The sequence below is a fragment of the Homo sapiens genome, chromosome X, assembly GCF_000001405.40.
Source record: "Homo sapiens chromosome X, GRCh38.p14 Primary Assembly".
Classification (NCBI taxonomy): Eukaryota; Metazoa; Chordata; class Mammalia; order Primates; family Hominidae; genus Homo; species Homo sapiens.
In genome coordinates this window covers 107,443,977-107,467,158 of record NC_000023.11, presented here as the reverse complement: position 1 = coordinate 107,467,158, position 23,182 = coordinate 107,443,977, and the positions used below count along the sequence as shown (strand labels likewise).

General features: G+C 47.7%; 1 protein-coding gene across 2 annotated transcripts in view, besides 2 other annotated features; it reads right to left on the bottom strand.

Annotated features, from left to right (window-relative positions):
* Positions 1 to 17,507, bottom strand: part of FRMPD3 (FERM and PDZ domain containing 3) — a 155,600-nt gene extending 138,093 nt beyond the window's left edge. For both annotated transcript variants that reach the window (NM_001388459.1, NM_001388462.1), the window contains exon 1: positions 17,154 to 17,507. The gene's annotated coding sequence lies outside the window, so the exon portion shown is untranslated. The remainder of the gene's footprint in view (positions 1 to 17,153) is intronic.
* Positions 15,386 to 16,300: an enhancer, noted in NCBI's record as "H3K4me1 hESC enhancer chrX:106694089-106695003 (GRCh37/hg19 assembly coordinates)". NCBI's record gives its function as "activates a minimal SCP1, AML or CMV promoter by ChIP-STARR-seq in naive H9 embryonic stem cells {active_cell/tissue: H9 hESC(naive)}" and the evidence as "EXISTENCE:reporter gene assay evidence [ECO:0000049][PMID:30033119]".
* Positions 18,135 to 18,635: an enhancer, noted in NCBI's record as "H3K4me1 hESC enhancer chrX:106691754-106692254 (GRCh37/hg19 assembly coordinates)". NCBI's record gives its function as "activates a minimal SCP1, AML or CMV promoter by ChIP-STARR-seq in primed H9 embryonic stem cells {active_cell/tissue: H9 hESC(primed)}" and the evidence as "EXISTENCE:reporter gene assay evidence [ECO:0000049][PMID:30033119]".

Sequence of the window (23,182 nt, the reverse complement as noted above, 5' to 3'; positions counted from 1 at the left end):
GACTTCTTGTGATCCTGATGTACCCCTGCAAAATTCTGGGTGTCTCTCAGGCCTCTCCAGTCAGGAAAAATTCAACCTTGCAGATTTACCTTCAGACATGTATACTTTCTCTCTCTTTCTCTCTCTCTCTCTCTCACACACACACACACACACACACACACACACACACCTCCAACCTGTCTCAATTTCAACAGATATCAGCTGGACTCCAGCCTCATGTCTTTCTGGTTCCCAGAATGCTATGGACTGTGAATGTGGTCAGTGAGGGGAGGTGTTAGAGTCAGTCCTTTCTTGGCCTTTCTGATGTCAACTCCTCTTAGAGTCTCTTGGCTAAAGGTGGGAGTTTTCTTTGCTTCCAGAGGAATCTATGGTACCCCTTGCCCCAAGGCCCAGTGGTGACTATAAAAGGGCCCATTCCTGCTCTGAGGGTCCAGGGAAAATACAGACTTGCTCCATGCACTGCAGAAGAGGCCATGTGATTTTCCTTGCCTTTCCTCTCACTCCATCCTCTCTTTCTTCCCTTTGGCAGCAGCAAACTCAAAGGCCTTCTCAGTCCCACTGAAGGGAAAAGGAAAGAACAAGACCTAAATGAAATGGATCAACTAGTAGACTGGGAAATTGAAAATGCGCCAGAGGCCCAGGGAGGGAAGTGGAGAGCAGCAGGACAGGGAGTGAAAGAGGAAAGCCCCCAGCTGAGAAGCCAATGACCACAAACGGCCCTGCAGGGTCCTAGCCTGGCCAAAGCTGCTCCACTCTGTTCACTGTTGGCTCAGTGCAGAGAGCACAGAATCTATCAGGGCTGGTCAGTGGCAAAACTGTGAGGTTGGGGGAGCTGGTCTCCAGCATTCCCTGTCTGGTCCTCATCTCCATTTTGAGGTCCCCTCTCCCAGACTCCCAGGGATTTCTCCCTGTCCCAAGAGTCTTGCACAACCTCCCCACAAAACAAAATTCACCTGTCCCTGTCCCATTTCTGCAGAACGTTGGGTGCATTGAGTCATTTGTGCAGCAAGGTGTGAAATGGTGGTCATGGCTGAAAGCTTTGTTCTCCACAGCTGTTATGTGGCTGTTAATAAGGTGTATTTGAGGAGGAAAAGAAGGAGATGGCGACCTATAGTCAAATAAGTATTGGAAGCCACAAAACTATGTTTTTAGCAAGTTTCTCTACTGCAAAACTTCTCAGAGCCTTTCATATGCTAATGTGCATTACAAAGCTCTAAGAGAGGTAGGTATACAGCATTTCTCAAACTTATTTGGCCAGCCACGGATTTTTTTTTTCTTTTTTTTTTTGGTAGAGCAGCTTAAAGGACCAGTATTTTATTTGATGTATTTTCCCTCTCAGATAACTTAGTTGCATTTCATAACAGTCCTTAATATTTAAACTTTAAACAGTGACTGTAATGGTGGGAAAGTCAGGCACCCTTACAGTTAGAGAAGGCAGTGATGGTTAGACTGGATCAACCACCAGGCCATAGGGAAGATATAAATGACCAGAGGACCCTGGTGACCTGGCTGTTTTGTGCCACACATTATAGGTGGTTGTCACTTACCAATTGGCCTGCTCCAATCTCATACAGTCCCAAATGTCTTTAATACTTTTTTTGTGTGTGCTGTGTCTGGGAGAGTAGTGTGGAGGGAATAGAGGAGAGCCTATCTCAAGACATATCTATTTCTTTTTTCTTTTTCTTTTTTTAGACACTGTATCACTCTGTCACCCAGGCTGAGTGCAGTGGTACAATCTTGGCTCACTGCAACCTCCGCTTCCTGGGTTCAAGTCATTCTCCTCCCTCAGCCTCCTGAGTAGCCGGGATTACAGGTACGCACTACTATTCCTGGTTAATTTTTGTATTTTTTGTAGAGAGGGGTTTTGTCACATTGGCCAGGCTGATCTCAAACTCCTGACATACAGTGATTTGCCCGCCTTGACCTCCCAAAGTGCTGGGATTATAGGTGTGAGCCACCGCACCCAGCCTAGACATGTCTATTTCTCACGTTGATACACTCATGTTTGATAGATGAATCAGGTCCTTCCTGAATCATTTGCCATTTGTGACTTTGTTCTTCACTGACACCACCAATCCCCCAAACTCCATTCTCTAAACCCCATTGGGCATGATGCCTCAAGAAAGACTAGCTGGGAGCACTGGTCCTCTCTCTGGGTTCTCCCATATATGTGCATGAACGAGTCACTTCTTTATTGTGCACGGTATTAGAAAAATGGGAGGCATTGGAGAGAACTTGAGGGCTGTACTCAGTCACACTGCTTCTCTGCCAGCTTATTAAGTGTCCTGACCAGATAGGTCCCCAAAAGTGACCTCCAGTAGCTCCCCTTAAAATAGCTGAGATGCTCATCAACCTGGTGAACTGAGCAGGGTGGACACCAAGGTGTTCTTTTGAATCAGGTGACCTAATCTTGGGAAGCGTCAGCTACCTAAGAACAGGAAGTTCTCATCCATTAAATTGAGAACTCTGCAAAGTTGAGAACTGTGCAACATCAGGCAGCTAATAAAAGCACTCTGGCTACTGTACTCTGTGCTACTCTGAGTACTCCAGGAGTACTGTGCTCAGTTCTGGAAAGGACCCCTAAGAGGCAGCCTTACAAATTGGAGTGTTGCCAAAGGAAAGTGACTAATATGCTAGTGGGTCAATAGGCTAGGACATTTTCTAGACATGGAGATACAAGCCAACATTCTACATAAAATTTCAGGAGGTTCACGGAACCCCAGGTTAAGAAGCTTAGCTGTGGAACCATATCACAAAAGGAATCACTGAGCAAACTGGGTAGATTTAGCAAAAAAAAACAAAATAAATAAATAAATGAAATAAAATAAAAGTCAAAAGATAGACTTGAGGGAACGTGATAGCTATATTCAGATATTTTAAAGGGGCTGCCAACAGGAAGGAGGAAAGAAGTATAAGATTGCTATCAGCTCAATATCAAAAAATGTGCTAATTAGAGTTGTTCAACAGGATGGGCTACCTTGGGAGGCAGTGAATGCCTTGATGATGAGAGTTAAAAATTTGAGGGGGAGAGTGGATTAGATGATCTCTAAGGTCCAACATCCCTTCCAGCTTTGCATTTCCTCCCACCCACATGTTTTTGTCTATGTCACTGAGACCCTTTCTAGTTTATCACAGAAAAGAGCCACAATCTTACCTACAAACAAATCCCAAAAGGCAAGATTAGATTAGAGGTGGCCCCAAACTCAGGACTACCTGGTCCCCTAGCTCCACTTCCACCTGAAATCATCACATCTTACCATCCCCCATACTAGGGCTCTCAGGGTTTGCTTGGTGACAGCTAGTTAATCTGATAAACTAATCTGCACTAATGGGATCAGAAATGCTAATGAATTAATGTGTTACCTTCCCAAGTGACATATTTGCATTTTAACAGAGGTCTTCTGGAGATAATGCCTTAACTCAAAGGAGTGATTAATATTGAAATTTTGTCTGTTTGGCAGTCCAGCAAGGAGACATTTTTAGAATGGGAACCATTTTCCATCCTTCATATCAGACCATCTGCTAGAAGAGGAAACAACATGTTCCTGCCCTTGTGGGGTTTACAGTTAATATAGTGGGGGGATTACAATTGCTAACATTTATTGAGCCTCTACCAAAGTGGGAAGTATAGCACTTAGCCCTGTGCTGAGTGCTATAGAAATATTATCTTTGAGTTCTCGCAACAATAGCCTCCTGAAATAGGTATTTTGCAGATAAAGGAACTGGGTCTCAGAGAGGTTAAGTAACTTAGTACTGCATTTCATTGACTCTAAGATGCTATCAACTGTAAGAGGCAACATTTTCTCAGATTTCCCTAACAAAGAAGAAATGCTGCCAATTAAACTACAATGAACCATGGATCATAGAAGTATTCCAGTTTCAGAAATGTTAAAAATGTGTATTCAAATATGAAATACACAAAATGGTAAGGCTGACTCCAGAGTACATGCTCTGTCTAATGCTTTTTATAAAACCCAAATGGGAAATAGCTGGGGAACACTTTGATATGATCATATAATAGCAAGTACATATTAATATTTTAAAACAAAATAATTACACAAGCATCCAGAAGATTGCACACTGAGTGTGAGGTCAATGGCAGATCATGTTGCTGGGGGTCACAAACCTCAGTGGTGGAGAAAAATAGGGACAGTATTTATGGAAGAAGGACTACCCTGAGCTGCGCCTGGAGCTGAGGTTGTGGGGGTGGTGGCAGACAGCAGATAACTGAAATTCAGTTTTTGAGGAGATGGTACATTGGCTGGCTTGGTTAAAGTGAAGGCATTAGTTGGTGAAATCAGGAGAAATACTTTAGTGAGAAACAGAGAAGGCAAATGAACTGGCAGGTGGTCTGCAAAGACCCAGATGAGAGATTTCCCTTTAATATGATGGGCAAAGGGGGCAACTGTGGATTCTTGCCAGTTAATGCCAAAATATTAGGAAAAGCTGATTCTGGCCACCAGGATGAATTAACGTTTCCAGGGGCTTCCTAAAGGGGTAAAAATCTAGCATGGCAAGGGGATTGTGTCATCAGAGTCAGCAGAATTCCAGGGCATTTTGCACCCTAAGCTTTCAGCCCTCTCTTGATGTGCATTCCCTTCTCTCCAGGTGCATCATTCCTCACCTGGAAGAGGAAGTAACAGAGCCATTGGCTGTGTGGGGCATGAAGCCCCAAGCTCTGATGCTGAAACATGCACCCCTCTACCCTAGGCCATGGTGGAGGGTGCGGAAGATACAGCCTGGATGATGTACAGTTCATCTCCCCTTCCTCTACTAATTAGTGTTTGTTGAGCCCCTGCAATGTGTGTCTGGATCAGGCCTGGAGGATACCTTGATGAAAGAGGCCCCTGAAGAGTTCACTCTCTAGCTGGGGAGAAAGAAAAATTAAAGTAATGTGAGATGGTGGGATCAAGTGTTGAATTGTGGTGGAAAGACTGTTCAGATTCCAAAAAGGAAGAGGTGGAATTGGGTGCTTTTTTTTCCTCTATATTTTTCTGTATTCTCAAAGTTTTCTACTATGCATAGATATTACTTTTATGATAAGGGAAAAATTATAATTTTAAAAACGGGGGCAGCCAATGAGAGCTAGAATAATCAGGAAGTCTTCATAGCAGAGGCTGGACTTGAGCTTGTTGGTTAGAGGATACGATGGAAGGATTTCCAGAGATGGAGCAAAGGGGGCCACTGCAGGCTGGGGGAAGAAAAAAAAAATGACTGCAGGGATAAGAGTAAGCACCAAGTGGGGTACAGTGGACAGGGAGAGTAAGGAGGCTAGGGGAGTCTGGGCATTGGGAAGTGGGGCAGAGGGATACACACAGACAGACACACAGACACACACACACGTATATGTATATGTATATGTATATGTATATGTATATGTATATGTATATGTATATGTATAATGAATTCCAGCTGTTGTGGAAGGCAGGCCTCATATACCAGGAGGAGGAGCTTCTATTTGATATAGTAAGCAAAAGGGCACTATTATAGGTTCTTGAGCAGGGACTGACACGATGAAAGATGTTTTAAGGAGATTCCTCTGGCAGCAGCGTTGAAGGATCACTTGGCGCTGATGGGGAGGCTGAATGCAGAGAGACCAGTTAGGAGGCTGCTGCAGTAATCTAAGCATGAGGTAATGAGAGCTTGGGCTATGATGGTGGCTGTGGGAATGGTCAAGAGGGGGTGGATTCGTGGGGCACCTGTGAGAGATGAACTGCCAAGAGATGAACTGTGGTGACTGACTGGAGTGGGGAGGGAGTGATTGATTCCAAGTCTCAGGCCTTGGGCTATCAAAAGAGTGATGGTGTCATTGATAGAGAGATACAGCCTGCTGAAGAGGGGCAGGAGCTTTCAGCGTGGAGGGTAAGGTTGGAGAGGAGATCCTGAGTTTGCTTCTAGATGTGATGAATTTAAAATGATGGTAAACTCCAAAGAGAAAATGTCCTTAAAGTTAATAATGAAATGCAACTGGAGCTCCGGTTAAAGGCCAGACTTCATCATTTCCAGCAATCACCTAGATTTCCAAAGCAGGACAAGCTATATTTAGACTAAGTGTGGAAATCTCTAAAGCGGGTCGGGGGAAGAAAAGAAAGCAGACCCAACAGCCAATGCTGGTTTGGACTTTGCAGGTGACGGACACTAAACTGTGTGGCAGCAGCGGACTAGTGGGTCTGTTTAAAGAACCCCCTCTTTTTCCTCTGTCAGTGAGTGATTTCTCTACATATTAGAAAGATTACAGCTCGACTGTAGGTGACGAGATGAATATGGAACAACACTCACTTTATTAATCATATCTGCATTCTCTGCAATTTCACGGTGGTGGCAACAGAGCCAGTGCGGCACACAGGACCCTTGTCAGCCCTGTGAGTGGGCTGGTTTTCAGAACCCCAGTCCACAAAAGCGAGATCCAGATTCCTGGCCATATTGATACAGGATTGGAGGCAAATTTATTTAAAACATCCTCTGGGGGCTGGACACGGTAGCTAATGCCTATAATCCCAGCACTTTGGGAGGCCCAGGTGGTAGGATCGCTTGAGCTCAGGAGTTCAAGACCAGCCTGGGCAACATAGTGAGAGCTCATATCTACAAAACATAAACAAAATTAGCTGGGCGTGGTGGCATGGACCTGTAGTCCCAGCTACTTGGGAGGCTGAGGTGGGAGGATTACTTGAGCCTGGGAGGCAGAGGTTGCAGTGAGCCATGGTGGTGCCACTGCATTCCAGCCTAGGCAACAGACCGAGATCCTGTCAAAAAAAAAAAAATCCTCTGGGTACTTCAGTTTCTGAAACCAACTTGCTTGGGTCTAGGTTAGAAGTGGGATGATAAAGAGAACAATTACTGAAGGAAGAAATGTATAAACCAATGACAAAACTTAGGAGACAAACAGTGAGTACAGACTGTAGAAGAATCTCCAAATTGAGAGATCTTGACACTTACCTGGTTGACTCCTAAGCCAGTTGTTGCCATCATGCCCTCTTCTTTCTGCCTTAAATGGGTTTTTCCATCAGAAGGGTAGTAAACATACAAACTACCCTAGTCAGTGACTTGCATTCTCTCTTCTCAATCCTTCACCTGCATAAGCATTTTCCACTCTGGACACCTGCCTACTTCTTAGCCACCAACCACCACCCCTGCCTCAAATCTGCAATCAGAAGACTTTACAGAAATCAAAACAGAAATCTTTAGCAGGGAAGTGCTGGAGGCCGCTGATTGACAGACTATGCAGAGTGTGTGTGTGTGTGTGTGTGTGTGTGTGTGTGTGTGTGTGTGTGTGTATGTATGCTTGCGTGCACGCACGCACACACACGTGTGTTCATCCACCAATCTAGCCATCTGTTCCTCTGTTTTCCCAGTGGGTTTGGATCAGAAGCAAGGAGAAGCCTGTTTGATTGGGTGGTCCTGCCCTCAGAGCAGAGCTCCCTTGGCAGTTAGGAGCCCACAGCCTGAGCAGAACTACTGTACTCATTCATCTTTACAAGGCATCATATGCTCCCACAAGAAGAACAAGTAAAAGGAGACTAAAATCTCACAAATATCCCTTTATCTGCAGTTCTCTATTTCCCTCCAATCCAGGGCTGGCAGACCTGGCCCAGACACCTATCCAGGGCTGATATTCAGTGGATTGGGTGGGGAGGGGAAAGTTGGTGGGGGAGGCAATTTAGCAGGCAGAGGCCCTGGCCATGACTCTCCCATCAACCTGTGGACTCCTCACTTAGTTTCCTTATACCAGCTGCAACAGGGCTCCAGCTGGCATCAAAGTGCTGTGGTAGCTCTTGCCATACTCTGGCACAGGTGTGACCTTCACTGAGATGATTCCCAAGTGCTCAGAAGAGTTTTCAAACTGATTCTACCAGGGAAGTTGAAAGATGTTTCCTCACTCTTACCAGCTCTCAGAAGCCTTGGGGGACTTGAAACAGACCAGACACAGGCATCGCCTGCCTCCGGCCTCCCTGTTGGGGGATGTAATACTCAGCACCCCAGCTTGGCTATCATCTCAACTGCATTCTGCAGCCAGATTCCTCATTGCTCACTCTTTCAGGTCATGGTACTGAAGGCCCCTGTGCGCATCTACTTTACTTGGAAAGGATAACTGATTATAATGCCCAATGTTATCTTAGCTCCAGAAACTCTGCCACCTTAAGGTCCTGAGGGCATGAGGCAAAGAAAGTGTAAGTATTGAGGCTAAGAGGAAGGAGCGAGTGAGACAAAAACAAGTCAAGAAAATCTACTTGGTGGTTTATCAGCCACACCGATGCCTTGAGAGCCTTTTGGATTTGACCCTCCTCTCTATGCCCACTGCCACCACCCTTATCACCTCTCACTTAGATTGCTGTAGTATCTTATAGGCTGGTCTCAAGTCTCTCCCTATTCCAATCAATTCTGCTTCCAACTGCATAGCTAACCATCCTGAATCACTATGCATAATTGTCCGACAGCCCCCAAGGTTTACCCAAGTCCAAACTTCTTCTGACATCAGAGACTCTTCAAATCTGGGAGTCCCATACCCAGCCAATCATTTTTTCCCCACTGTGCCTGCATATACACCCTCTCCTCTAGTCAGACTTCTTTCTGACCCTTTCTTGATAACACCCTGACCATTTCCATCTCCAGCCTTTTCCCTATGCTGTGCCTCCCCCTCAGAAGCCTGTTCCTTTTCTAGTCAACAATCTCAATCTCACATGTTACTCAAAACATAACGCAGGTTCAACTTCTTCTGGGAAGACTTCTCCCCTCATTCCAGCCCACACTCTCATTCTCTCTGTGCTTTGAACCCCTACAGTGCTTACTGTTTAGAGCAAAAAAATGTGGCACATAATTGTTTTCCATCTTGTATTATTCTTAGTTACTTCATATGAATGAGTATTATTTTTCTGTTAAATTACGGATTTCCAGAGAGCAGGGCCTTTGCTTTCCCCTTCTCACCATAACATTAGTACAGGGCTAGATCCTGGAGTGGTCAATAGACTTCTCTTCCCATGCCTTAACTCCAGTATGAAGGAAGGATGAGATAAGTGAAGCCCGCTAAGGATCTCCGCTGTTCATTCCCTCACCTTTCTCAAAAGATGTTCCAGACGGCAGAGGAGCTGAGGCTGCCGAGTGAGACATAGGCAGCCAATCAGCTGTCAGATCCTAGCTTTCAGAACACTCCCACCTCCTAAGGTTTTCTGGGCAATCAATAACGCTACTTAAGTGATCAATCTGAGGCACAATGGGCTGTAGGGGCCAGTGTTTGATTAACTTGAGAGAATAAATGTACGCTGGAAGAGAAAGAGCAGGGAGGGGGGAGCAGAAGAAAAAGCAAGAAGAAAGATGAGCTAGGGGAAGGAAGAGAGAGAAAAGCCTTTATGAAGGAGGGTATGATGGGATGGAGCTGAGAGTAGTTCTCACCTAATCCAATTCAACGAGTTAAGCAAGTTCCTACTGAGGTGTCGAAATAATCTTGGGGCTTTGTCAGAGTCCAGTGAATATCCCAGGGCTTTTAGGCAATTTTTGACTTTGGCAAGAACACTGTTGCCATGGTCCACTGAGGGTCCACACAGCCTCCATATTGGGTGGAAGAGTGGGTGTGGGATAGAGACTTCAGCCAATATCAAGGAAAGACATGGATCTTGAGCTATGCTCATTGGCTGTGTCTAGAGAAATCCCAGGTTCTGGCATCCTACACTCTCCTACCCAAGCCTGATGACTCAGAAACCCATGATGATATGGGACAGTAGGCTCATCTGCAAGGGAGATATCAGCATTACCTTCTCTCTATCCAGAATTGTATATACTATCCTCCCTCTCAAGGCCCTGGAGCTGGAAATTTAACTATTTGCAGTTAACAAAAAATACGGAGTCCCTTTCCAAATGTTTTCCAAACATTATCAAATGTTTAGCTATACCACGAATCAAATTTTTTTCTGGGAAAGATAGTATTATCTGGAAAAAAAAAACAGAGCAGATGGCCTCTTACTGTGAGAAAGTGAGAAAGTTCCTCCTTTAATCTAACCATGATACCTGCTGCTCTCATTAAAAACTCATCCTTCTCATAGGATGACATTGGTACCCTCCTGGTTATGCAGGCTCAAAGCCTTAGAATCATCTTTGACTCTTCCTTCTTCCTCACCCCACGCATTCAATTGGTAGGTAAATCAGGTTTCCTCTACCTCCAAATACATTCACCCATCTTCTTTCTGTCCCCAACCAGCTATGGTAACAACCGGCTAACTGGTCTTCCTGCCTCCAGAATGATCTTGTTTTAATCATTATGCCAAAGCGAGAAAAAAAGAAAAATGAGCTTGAATCTAATCAAGCCCAGAGCTAACTTCCATTTATAGAAAATATAGGGGATAGGTGAACAAGCTAACTGGCAATAAGAGGACAAACCAGAATGTGGGAATTGTGCAGAGCAAACAACCTGATTTCTGTGACAAGTCAAAGAGAGAGGGCTGTTGAAAGGGCCTTTAGAGACATAACAACCAAATGTCACGTGTGGAACTTTTTTGGAACGTCCGTCAAACAAGCCAACTGTAAAACATGTTTTGAGACAATTGAGGGCATATGATTATGGACAGGGTAATGGATAATACAAAGGCATTATTGTTACTTTTGTTAGGTGTATTAGCAGTTCTGTAGTTATGTTAGAAAATGTCCAGTTTTTAAGAAATGCATAGAGAAATATTAGGAATAAAATGATGTGATCGATGTTTGGCATGATAGGTGAAGCAAACATGGCAAAGTCCTGATAACTAGTTAATGTGGATAATGAGTATGTGGGGGTTACTATACTATTTTCTCTAATTTTTTTGAGGTTGAAAATATTTATAAGAAAAAGTAAAGACAGGCTGGGCACAGTGGCTCATGCCTGTCATCCCAGTGCTTTGGGAGGCTGAAGTGGGAGGATTGCTTGAGCCCAGGAATTGGAGACCAGGTTAGGCAACACAACAAGACCCTGTCTCTATGAAACACTAAAAATTAGCTAGCAACTCGAGAGGCTAAGGTGGGAGGATCACTTGAGCCCAGGAGTTTGAGGCTACAGTGAGCCATGATCATGCCACTGTACTCATCTGGGCAACGGAGTGAGACCCTGTCTCTAAAAATAATAATAATAATAATAATAGTCATCCACTATACCCACTCTATCTTCCTAGCCTTATCTTCCATTCCTGCCCTATTTCTCTATGACACAGCCACCCTACGTACTTGCTCAAGTTTTTTCCAGTCTGAACTTCATCCCTTCACTTATTCATGAAGTCATTCATTTGAGTAGTCAACAAATATTTATTAAGTATCTCTTCTATGCACTAGGCACTGTAAATTCAAAGATGACTGAGAAGGAGAAGGACAGGAAGCCTCCTTCATCTTTTGTATTATCCACAGCAACTAGCACAGTGCCTTGTACATAATTGGTGCTCAATAAATGTTTTATGAACTAATGTGCAGGGGGAGATGCGATAGAATCCCTGTCTAATATGAATCAACAAGTATTTGGTCCAATTCAACATATGCCTATTGAGTACCTACTGTGTATTAGGCACATATGCTATGGGGATTTAAAAAAATTAAAAAAAAAGATGTACTTGCCAAATGTATTTTTATTTATTTATTTATTTAGAGACAGGGTCTCACTCTGTCACCCAGGCTGGAGTGCACTGGTGCGACCACAGCTCACTGCAGTCTCGACCTCCCGTGTTCAAGCCATCCTCCCGCCTCAGCCTCTCTGTAGTCCCGAGTAGCTGAGATAACAGGTATGCACCACCATACCCAGCTAATGTTTTAGTTTTTTGTAGAAATAGGGTCTCGCTATGTTGCAAGGGCTGGTTTCAAACTCCTGGGCTCAAGCTGTCCTCCCACCTCAGCCTCCCAAAGTGTTAGGATTACAGGCCTGAGCCACCACACCCAGCCCCAAATGTATTTTAGAGACGGAGGAGTTGAGAGGAGAGAGAGATCACTTTAGTCTAAAATGATCAGAGAAGATTTCACAGAGGAGGTGAATTTGAATGTAGAGCTGAAGGATAGGTATAGTGATATGGAATAGGAGAGAAGCATAGGCAGAAAGGAAAGGGCATTCCTGGTGAGTGAAATGGAATGAACAAAAACATAGAGGCAAAAAAAATGTACAAGGTACGTTTAGGAGATCCTGGGGTAAGAAACTTGGCTGGAGTAGAAGGGTCCATGTAGGGCTTTGTTTCACAAGTAGATCAAGTGTATCAAAATCACTTGGGGAGCTTGTTAAAATGCATATTCCTGGACTCCAGCTTCCAGACCTACTGAATCAGAAGCTCAGGAGGTAGGACTCAGGAATCTGCATTATAACAAGTTCCCTCAAGCAATTTTAAGACACATTAAAATTTGAGAATCAATGATGTGGACCAAGCATGAGAAATAGGGTTGGAAGAATATACAGGGTTAGGTCCACACAAGGAGAACTTTGAATGCCAGGCTAAGGAGGCTGAAATTTATCCCACAGGCAATCAGGTATCACCCTCCAAGGATGATGATCAGAAGCATTATGAATAAAGGATATTCCACAACATTAATCTAGCAGTTGTGTGTATTATGGACTGGAAAGGAAAGAGACTAGTGCAGTGTGGCTGTGAGGTGGTGGCAGGAGTCAGGGTGGACTGGGGCATAGGGGATGAGTCAGAGATGGCTTTGAGGTTTCTAGACTGGGAGACAAGAAGCCTTATGGTAAAAGAAAGGTGAGAAGAGTGAGTCATCTCTGAGAAATAATGAGATGAGTTTGTGAATACTGAGTCTGAGAGCAAGCTATCCAAGAGGAAATGTTTAGCAAGCAGTTGGAAATATAGGACTGAACCTCAGGAGTGGGGTTAAGTTTGGGCTAGAGAAATGGGAATGGTTGGTAAAGAGGTGAGAAGGGAAGCCATGCATGCCTGTGTGTCCTTGTCAATAAAGAAAGTGGAAAGCAGGAGGAGCTGGAGAACACCCAGATTTGAGGGGTAGTAAGAAGAACTAGCAATAAAAGAGAAAAAAGGAGGGGTCACTTGGCTGGAAGGAGACCCAGATATTAGAACCTAGCAGAGAGTTCTTTCAAAAGCTGCGGGTGGCTAGTAGTGTGGCTAATGGCAAAGTGAATTTGAGGCACAGAGCAAAAACACTGGCTACGGCATGCATGCTGAGAAAGCTGCAAGAGTGCACACACCTGCTCATTCTCATGTTCCTTAACACAAACACACAGAAATAGACACACCTGCTCCTACAGATACACAAGTAGCACCTCTTTCCCTCTCTCTCCTTTCCCCGCCCCACGTTATACACATATTCCCATTTCCAGGCTCATTTTCTGACTACCAGGGATTGGGCACTAGTGTGCCACAGGCTGTTAATGTTCTGTTTTAAGGATGGTGCCTCAGGTCTCAGAAAAGGGTGCTCTGCCTGTCATGGGTGGGAAATAATACAGAACCCCAAGATCACTGTCCTTGCCTTTGGCAGCTCAGCTGAGGGGAGGAAAGGAGGGAAAATGGCATGTTTCTCTGGATTTGCTCCCTACCCTACCCCTTTGCCCCTAGCCCCAGGATTTCTCAGCAGACAATAAGGTCCACCCCATTTTGAGAGTCCTTCATTTTGGCTGCCGATAATGCAAGAGAATGTTTTTGTTTCTGAACTTATGGTAAAAAGGAAAATAGAAGTCCTTGAGAGAAGAGCCAGAACAGAATTTTCTGCTGGGAATGCTAATGGCCTTAAGGCTGCCCCACAAACAGAAGCTGACTTGAGTGTGCTTCCTCCCAGGGGGCCTGTCAAAGCTAAGGGTCTTCATCTAGTATCAATAGGTATCAATTCTAGTCCCCCTAGCAATGATTGCTAGGGCCTATATGTGAAGGCAAGAACCCCCCAAAACCAAGCTTGTCTGCATGAGCCTCTCTTTCCACAATTTGCCCCAGGTATGTGTTGGGGTTTGAGGGTGTGTCTGAGGGGTGTGTGTCTTGTGTGTGATATGTGTGTGTGTATTTGTGTGTATGTGTATGTATGTGTGTCTTATGGCTTCATTCAGTTAGCCTGGAGGTGCCACAAAAACAGGGATCTTTCCTCTGTTGCATTGGTGCTGCCCCTCCAAGTGCCTTATCAGGCATTAGCCACGGAGTCCAATCATTTATGCGTAGTGGGGGAGGGTGGGTACAGAGTGCTTCCGTTGTCCTGCATCCACCCATGCTCCCTCCAAGGGCTGAAGTAAGGATTACTGCGGTGGGGCAATTCCTCTCCTCTACTCATCCCACCCGAGACTCCTCTGTTACCCACCCCCACCCCCATCTCCAGCAAGCCTTTCCCAGCTTGCTGCTATCATCAGCAATCCCAGGGCTTTCTTGTTGCACTTTTTCAATCTACTACTGCTCCTAGAGGATGTCGTTGGTCACAAAATCCCCCAACTGGGCCACACAGCTCACTTCTCAAGACCCTCGGACTGCACCACTTACAAGAGGGAGGGGTCCCCTGACTCATTCCAAATGCAGCTCGCAGCCTCATAGGAGTCCCCAGACCTCTCCTCCAGTGGGGTAGAGGCTCTGTTGCACTATCCAAAGAAGCCATAGCACCAACAGCATCACGAGCTTATGTTGGAGGGGGCACTTACTGAGTTCAGGCCAATAGTCTGGCCACTCAGCAGAATGCCTCACATATCTGGGAAACCCTCAGGGCCAGAAGCCTGGGGCAGCTGCCACCCTCCCCTGGCCAGTCTCCTCTCCCTGGTGGCCTTCAGCCCACAACTGCAAGGCGGTTGTGGTGTTGGGTGCCAGCGAGAGATAGGGGATATTCTCTCCACATGCAGCAATGAGTGTTTCTTTCCTGCTTATATCTTATTCCCTCCTTTCTCAGAATCTGGCAGTGGCTCCCAATTGCCTCTCAAGTCAATTGAAACCTTCTCTTTGTGGGCCTCAAAACCCTCCACAATTACATCTCACCTTCTGACACCCTCACTCCCACACACACATCACCCATAACTCTGGCCTAGGCACAGACAGTAGAGTAGACAGATGAGGTTGTCCACAAACTGCTCCTGCCTGAGTCCTGCCACAGGTGCCTGAAAGCCCCACCAACAGAGTCACTCCTCTGTGTCCTTTAAAAATGCAAATGTTACCTGTGAGGTGTAAGCAGTAAACCTCTATCAGCTATTAACACCTTGGCCTGGCAGGGATTCTGTCATCAAATTTGCCCGAGCAGTGAGCAAAGCCCCGCCTAAATAATCTAAGGGGGCGGGGGAGAGGACCCAGAGGAGCCCTGAGCAGCCGACGGGAGGGGCAGGAGCAGGGAAGGGGCTCTGACGTAGAAGCCATCGCCGTCACGATTTTACCACGGTCTACATTCTAACTCCGCATCTCTACTTAAAACAGTAAAACCCACTAGTCCTTGCTCCCCTCAACCTTGTTTCCCCCATCCACAATACATTATGCCTTATTTAACCTCAGGGGTGCCTTCATGACAAGCTGCTAAGGTTGAATTAGTCCTTTCACATGAAATACAAAAACAAACAAACAAAAAAACAAGCCATGAAATTGGGTAGACGCTGGCATGTTTGCTTGGGCACGGCCAAGTCTTGTTGAGGTCTCCCCGGGTAGAGCAAGATCTCTTTGCTCAGCGGAAACAGCAAAGGCTTCCCGAAAAGCCTCTCTTAGCTCCCAAGAAGCTGGCAGCTGGGTTCCCCCTGCTTCTCCTGCAGTGAGCTTCATGGGCAAGGAAGGCGAGGGAGGGGCAGGGCCTCCAAGCTGAGGGCCTCTGTGGCTGAACTGGCACACTATCCCGGGTCCTCTAGGCCCAGGTGGAGTTCGCCATTTACCCCGGTCTCCAGCTGGGAAAACTCACTTGGTGCTTCGCTCTGAGTCAGCATAGAATCCCCCACCCTCCACTTCGAGAAGGGCGCCCCCAAGGGAGCCTTGCGCTTATAGCAGTTCCTCCGAAGGCAGGAGTCCAGAGACTGCCCCGCCCTCCGTAAGAGCTGCAGGATGCTAAGACCACCCGGTGGACTCCAGGGTTTTGCACCTGGACCAAGATGCCAAGGGGAGGGGCAGGTCTAGCAGAATTCGGCGTTTGCTGTCATCTGGGGCTCTTTAGTTGCAGCTGCAAGGGTGGAGGTGCCACCTGCTTCTGGGGGAAGGTGTCAAACATTTGCCCCTGCAGTGGTTTCAGTGTGTGTGTATGGGGCTGTGGTGTGTGTGTGCAGGAAACCCAACAGCTCGAGCGTGGAGGGTATGACTACCAGAGTTGGGCACGCTTTTTGCCAGAATGGGGTTCTTAAGGGCTCTGGTGGAGGTGTCTACAGTAGCTGCGTGTGACGGGGGGTTGCTGGGTGTGTATTGGGGGGAAGCAGCAGGTACTGGATCTGCAGTAATGTGCAGTTGTCATGTAGTTTCTCAAGACCACTCTGAGAAAACACACACACACTCACATACACACACACACTCTCCAACCTCCAAAGCACTAGGCTGGGGAGTAGAGGAGTGTGTTTGTGTGTGCATGTTTTAGCAGCGCTAGGGGGAGGTGCATGTATCTGTATATGTGTTTGAGCTTTATTAGCATCTTGGTGGGAGGGGGCAAGTGTAGCTCGCGCTCTCTCTCTCTCTCTCTGTGTGTGTGTGTGTGTGTGTGTGTGTGTGTGTGTGTGTGGTCTTTGCATGGGGCTGACTGTGTGGCTGAGCGCCGGGTATGTTGTGCGGCTGTGTGTGCGTGTGTGTGCGCCTCCGTGTCCGCTTGTGAACATGGCCCCGGGAACCACGCACATGCTTCAGACAGCTGTTTCTGGCAGCCCCTGGGCTCGGGCTTCGCCGGGCACCCCGGCTAAGTGGCCACCTCCTAGCAGCCAGGCCCCGCGTCTCGCCAGCTCTCCCAACTGTGCCCACAGCCCAGGCGCGCACACAAAGGCTCCATAATGAACGCGCTGCACTCCCCTGCGCTCGACTCCTCACCCCGCACCCGCGGAGGCCAAACGAGCCCGCCAAGCCAGAGACTCGCCGGGGCAGTGGGCACGCAACGGGCCGTTACCCCGCCCGCCCAAACTCCGGGCGGCCAGACGTTCGGCGCCCCCCGCCCTGCCCCCGGCTCCCGGGGGCGCCCAAGCGCCAGTCGCCCCCCAGCCGGCCCGGGGCGGAACGCTCCCGCCGCGACCCACCCCCGGTTGGGCTGAGACAGCGGGCGCGCCCCCCTGAAGGCAGCGCGCCTCTTACCTTCCTCCCCCTCCTCTTCCTCCTCCTCTTCCTCCTCCTCCTCCTCCTCCTCCGCCTCCTCAGCGGCGCGGCAGCGGCGGCGCAGCGGCGGCGGCGGCGGCGGCGGCAGCGGGACTAGGGCACCCGTGCCCCCGAGCCCGGCATGGGCTTGGGGCTCAGTGGCGCCGGGCGGCGGGGCGGGCAGAGGTTGGCAGGGCGGCAGCAGCTGGCCCGGGACGCGGGGAGCTGGCGCGCAGGCGGCGGGCTGCGGGCAGGATGGCAGGAGCGCGCGCGGGCTCCTCGGGCGGGCTTCATGGCTGCGCCGCGGGCGGCACCATCGCCGTGGCTCGCTCGTCGCTCTCTCGCTCCAGGAGTGCGGCAGGCTGCGAGGTGACGGATGGCGGCGAGGCGGCCGGACGGCCGAGGAGGGGAGGGGAGAAGGGGCGGGGGGAGGGGGAGGGGGAGGAAAGAGGGGAGTGCAGAATGAGGGGCCTCTCCGGCGCCTCCCGACCCTCGAGTGCTGGCGTCGATTTCCCCGAATGGGAAAGCGGCTTAAAGGCGCAGTTCCTGGCTCGGGTCACTACTAAAAATAAGCAAAAAATTGACAATTGGGGAAAGAATCTCCCAAGAACAACCCAGCAACCCAGCCACCCAGCCTGGCGCTGCCTCACTTCTTGAATCTGACCGTTACGGCCGGACTCTGCCGGGAACTGCTGGCTGCCGAGAGGGCAAGCCAATTTCCAAAGTGAACCCGGGAAAGGGGGGCGGGGAGTGAACTGCGGAGAAGGGGCAGCAGGAACGCTTGCTTCGGAGACTCCGTTCCCTGGCCCCTGACCTTGCTTCTCGCCCCTTGTTTGCTCGCCTTCTGCTGGGGATGCCCTCCCTGCAGCTCCCCTCCTGGTCACCATCGCAAACATCCACACGCACCTTGAGTTTCGGCTCGGGCTCCTGCTCTCAGCGCCTCTCCCCAGCACTGGAGTGTGAGCGGCTTCGAGCCCAGGCCCAACGCCAGGAGCCCACCTCAGTAAGGGAGCGATCTGCCAGCTGGCAAAGGTCTGCTTAGAAAATGCGATTGGTTTGGTGAAAAGGGAAAAAGGTTAAGGTGTGTGTGCATGTGTGTTCACCAGCAGATGGAGGGAGGGTCCTGGCCACACACACACACCCGGAAGGAGAGCAGCTAGGCACACAGCACAGTGCCTGATGAATGATCTCAGGACGTTTTTTAGAGACATGCTGTGAATACTAAACATGCAGCAGCCGAGATTCAAGAGAAGCTCTTGGTCTCCCAGCGGGCTCCAGACCCCTTCAGAGGAGTTTTGAGGGCCAAGAAAAAAGGCCACTCTTCCTTCCCCAAAAAGGGCAGCCTCAGTGGGGACCCAGAGAGACTGGGAAGCTGGACAGTGGGTCTGGGTGGTGAAGTTAAGGCCAGGGAAGAGAGAAGCAGGAGGAAGCAGTGGAGTTGAGGAGCTCCTGGTGATGCCAAATACATGGTGAATTTCCGGGTGTCAGAAGCACCTCGGAGAGACAGTTAAACATTGGCACATTTGGGCCTTGTGAGTTCTAAGGTGAAAAGTCAGCCCTCCTCGATTTCCTCTGTGTTCCTGAACTCTAAAGGAGGCTGTTGGCACAAAGGGATCCATTCTAGTTGGAATATTTCCTCACTTTCGGTTCTTTTCAAGCACTTGGTTAAAGCTTCAGAAGAGGCCGGAGGGCTACTGAGGGGCAATTGTGGGACAAGGGCTGTTCTCCTAGGCTGCACGGAATTTCCAGGATACAGAGGAGAGCTCCGGGCACAGGGCTCCGTGGCTTCCCACAGCTGGGCTCAGCAGTGGAGTAGCTGACTAGCAGATTTGGCCATCGGTCCACTGAGCACACTTTTGCTTTCTTCCTGGCACTTCCCACCTTGAAAAAAGGATGGAAATTCCCTGCATCTGGATGGGAGTAGCCTAAGCTGGTAAACCAAGCTGATGGAATTATTAAAAGCGGATGACAAGTGAAAGTGAAGACATGCAGGGAGAGAAACACACAACATTCCCTGCAAATGCACAGGCAGAGCCCAACCTGAGAAGATGCTCTGAGGAACACAGCACACACAAAGGGACACACATGGAGTCAGTCACATGTGGGGCCACAGACACACTGAGCTAGTGCAAAAAAAAAAAAAAAAGGCTAGCCAGAAAAGTGACTCAGACTTTATTTCTAATCCTTCTGAAGGAAAGAGATGAAGAGAAACAGGGAAGAATTGGCCTCCCATCTCCAGGGACTGGAGAGGGAGCCAGGAACCAGCTGTCCAGTATGAATAATAATATTTCCAGCCAGACTGTCCCTGGCAGATTTTCTTGGGGTGGTGTCTCAGGAGGTGGGATCCCCTCCAGGGTCTCCTGAGCCTCACCTAGTTCAGTCTTTATTAATATTAATAACACAGGTCCCAACAAATTGGTTTGTATCAGTTATTACAATAAAGCTCATGGGTTAAGAACTAAAATAAATGCCTCTCACGAATCTGATTGGCCCTCCTCTGCTGCTTTCTGGGCTCACTCAAAGCACATGCTCAGGCTCCATTCAAGCTGCTTTGTGGTAAACAAAATAAAGAAGGGGTGGTGAAGCAGGAAAGAGTATTGAGAGGAACTGTGTCACTGGACAAATGCACATCTGAGGGCTCCTGGGTGACCAGTGAGGCACTGTCTGGTTTAGGATAGCGATTAGGTGCATGGCTTTCAGAATCTGCTTCTTACTAGTGATGTGATCTCAGGTAGCTCACTTAACTTCTTTAAGCCTTACCTGTGAAATGAAGACGATGGCAGAATCTACCTTATGGAGTTATTGGAAGTGTTGAATGAGATAACAGATATAAAAGGTCTCAGTAAATGTTAGCTGTCGTTCTTTCTCAAAACGAATTTGCCTCCTAGTCATCTATTTAAAGGTTCCTTTTTCTGTTCATATTCTGCCTAATTCCAGTCTGAAGTGATGCAGCATTTGCATTGTTTCTTGCTCTCGATTAAAGTGAGTTCTCAGGACTTGATGAACACTAGCTTGTTTCACTTCCAAGGAGAGAGAACTCTCACCCCAGAAAATCATGTAGCTGGGATTTTCTTGTTCTTATTTTTGTTGTTTGACAAGTTGTGTGTACTTCCCATGTCCAATAGAAATGATGGAGATGGGGTACAGAGAGAGCATGGTGAAGATTCTTCAGTGTTCTTAACCCTGTACCAAAATGCAGCAAAATAAACACTTTCATGCAAAAGGGAGACCCTGGATCCAGTTGCACTGAAATTTGGTGAGGGCCCCTGGGGCAAGAGTTCAGTCTCTTCAAATCTGAGGACAATTTGATGACAAATGAAGACGTTCCAGCCAGAAGTCTATTTCCCATTGAAACCAATACATTGAGATGAACATAATAAGTGACTGTTTTTCTTCCCTACATACTGAGAGTGAATGGAGGCAGCCTGGCTTCACTAGCACTTTGCTCTGAAATCAGCACTTAATAACCAGGCAACCAACTCGCCATTAACTGAGAATCCACGGATGAATAGACAGAGAGTATCCTGGCCTCTAGTAATAATAGTAATACTGACTACCATTTATTGATCCAACACTTAACTGTGAGCTAGGCATGCTGCTACCACTCCTAGGAAAAGGACAGCAGTTCTTCATCTCAGGGGTACAATTAGTTCAACTCTGCTGGTAGGACCTCCAGCCAGCCCTGAGAGCATTACATGTATTAACTCATTTCAGGATCACCACAGCCCTCTTACCAGGTAACATCATTATTCTTATTTTACAGAAGAGGAAGCCAAGACTCATGTAGCAGTAAGTAGTGGAACCTGGATTCCAACCACATGATAATTCATAATAATAATTATTATTGCTTTTATTTATCACTTTATGGGCCAGGCACTGTGATGGCATTTTACATGCGTTATCAAATTTAATTCTCACAATAAACCCAAGAGGGTAGGCTCACAGAGGCTGCTAAGTAATTTCCATAAGGTCACACAACTAGTAGAACCTAATCTAGGATTTGAACCCATGCTTGTTTGACTGCAGAGTGATAGTATTTCCAAAAAGGCCATGACTCCAAGACTTCAGCTGAGATTACACAGAGAGACAGGTTACTAGCCTTTCTCCCAGACACATTACTAAACTGCCTGCCTCTGCTGGGGCAGCCCGCCCACTCATTAGCACCCAGGAAAGATAAATGCCTGAAGGGCAGGGTGTCATCAATGGCTGGAGTATGAACTGCATCTGCCTAAGGCAGCAAGGGGACTCTGCAGGTTGCTAAGCTGGCCCTGGGATGATAGAAAGGGGATGATATCATCAGAAAGGTCAAGGAGGGAACCCACTTTATAATTTTGCAACCTCCAACCCTTTAATTTCCATCTTGCCTTTCAGCAAGACACCCAGTCACCCCAAAGCATCTAGGGCCAACCAGGGCTCTGGTGTTTGGTATATGGTGGGTGAAGGAAAAGGGAGAGAAGCCTCCTGAGCTACTGAGCTACTGGGGAAACTGGGAGCTAGCAGGAACGCTGGGTGACAGAGAATCCCTGTGGAAAATGTGGAAGAAAAGGACCATTTCAAAAGATTTGTCACTAGGAGAAGGAAGGACAAAAGGCTGGGAAATTATGCTAAGAGGGCTTTTAAGTGGCCCTTTGTGTGCTAGCTGAGCCTGCCTACCTGGTTTGGGCTGGAAGACACTGAAGGGCCAGGCATGGAACAACCCTGGGCTGATGAGCTGCAAAGTGCCAGCCAACCCCTTCGCGAAGCTGGCTGGCAGGCACCCTCTCCCCTCAAATGCAGCTGCTGAGCAGGGCTCACTGCCTGCCAGGTTTGTGTGTCTCAGCTAGCTCCCTGCTTCCCTGTCAAAATTCATCCCTTCCCAGACCCTCAAACTTGCTGGAAAAGTGCCCAGTCATGGGAGGGGGATCCTTGGGTCAAAACTGGGGTTCATACTACCATGGTGCCCCAGTGACAAGAATGAGGTCACTCAATTCCTGGCTCCTCTCTGGGGACTGGGGTCATGCAGCCACTACTTACATTAATAAAGCCCAGGTCTCTTTAAAACAGCCCAGGGAAGCTGGCTGTTTTGATTCCTAGCCTTCCTTGCTTCTGCCCATTTCACTTACTTAAGTATTGGGTTGACAAGATTTCCTTCCAGCATGCAGAGATGCACCTCCCTTCAATAAGCCCTTTGATTCCTAGATCTTCTCTGAGTGCCCTTCCTTGGACAGCACCTCAGGCTTTGGGTGTTTTCTGAAAGCAATTTCTGCCCCCCATCAAAATTTATCCATCCCTAGTCTTAGTCTTAGATAATCTGATAAATGAATCTATACTAAGGTAAACACAGATGGTAATTGGCAATACTTCTCAACCTTTAAAATGAACACACACACACACACACACACAGAGAGAGAGAGAGAGAGAGAGAGAGAGAGAGAGAGAGAGAGAGAGAATCCCTAAACATAGAATAAAGTGAGAATCTGGAAGTGAAAGCCATCGTGGCCAAAAGCATAAAATTTTTTTGAAGCTCACATTTTATTTTGAAAACACGAGAACTTTCACATTTTACTCTGTAGTATACTTGTGTTTGATTTACCATGAAAGTACCGCATGTCTCTAAAATCCTTGCATGAATTGAAGCTCGAAAAAGATGCACTGTGTTGATCTTGTGGCTCTATGTACCTCCTAGAAGGTAGAGAGACCCCCATTTGAGAAGTGCTGAATGAATGCCCAGAACCTGTTTGTCTTTTGGCCCACTATCTCTATTGAAGACAGAAGTGAGCAGAATGAATGACTAGAATCGTTTGGAGTGCTGGGGTGTGGGGGCATGGTGGGTGAGCCTGTCTTCTTCTCAGGCTCCATTTCCCCCCACAGGAATTACAGCAGAGCCAGCCACACCCCTAGATCATAGAAGGTGCATGCAGCCACATACTTGGTGTGATACCAGCCTTCCCCTTACTCAAATTCACCTGCCCTCCAGCTGTGTTTGCCGGAAATTCTCCTTTGGGTTAAAGCCCAATCTCCAGAAGGTCCCGGTAAATTGCACATGTTAT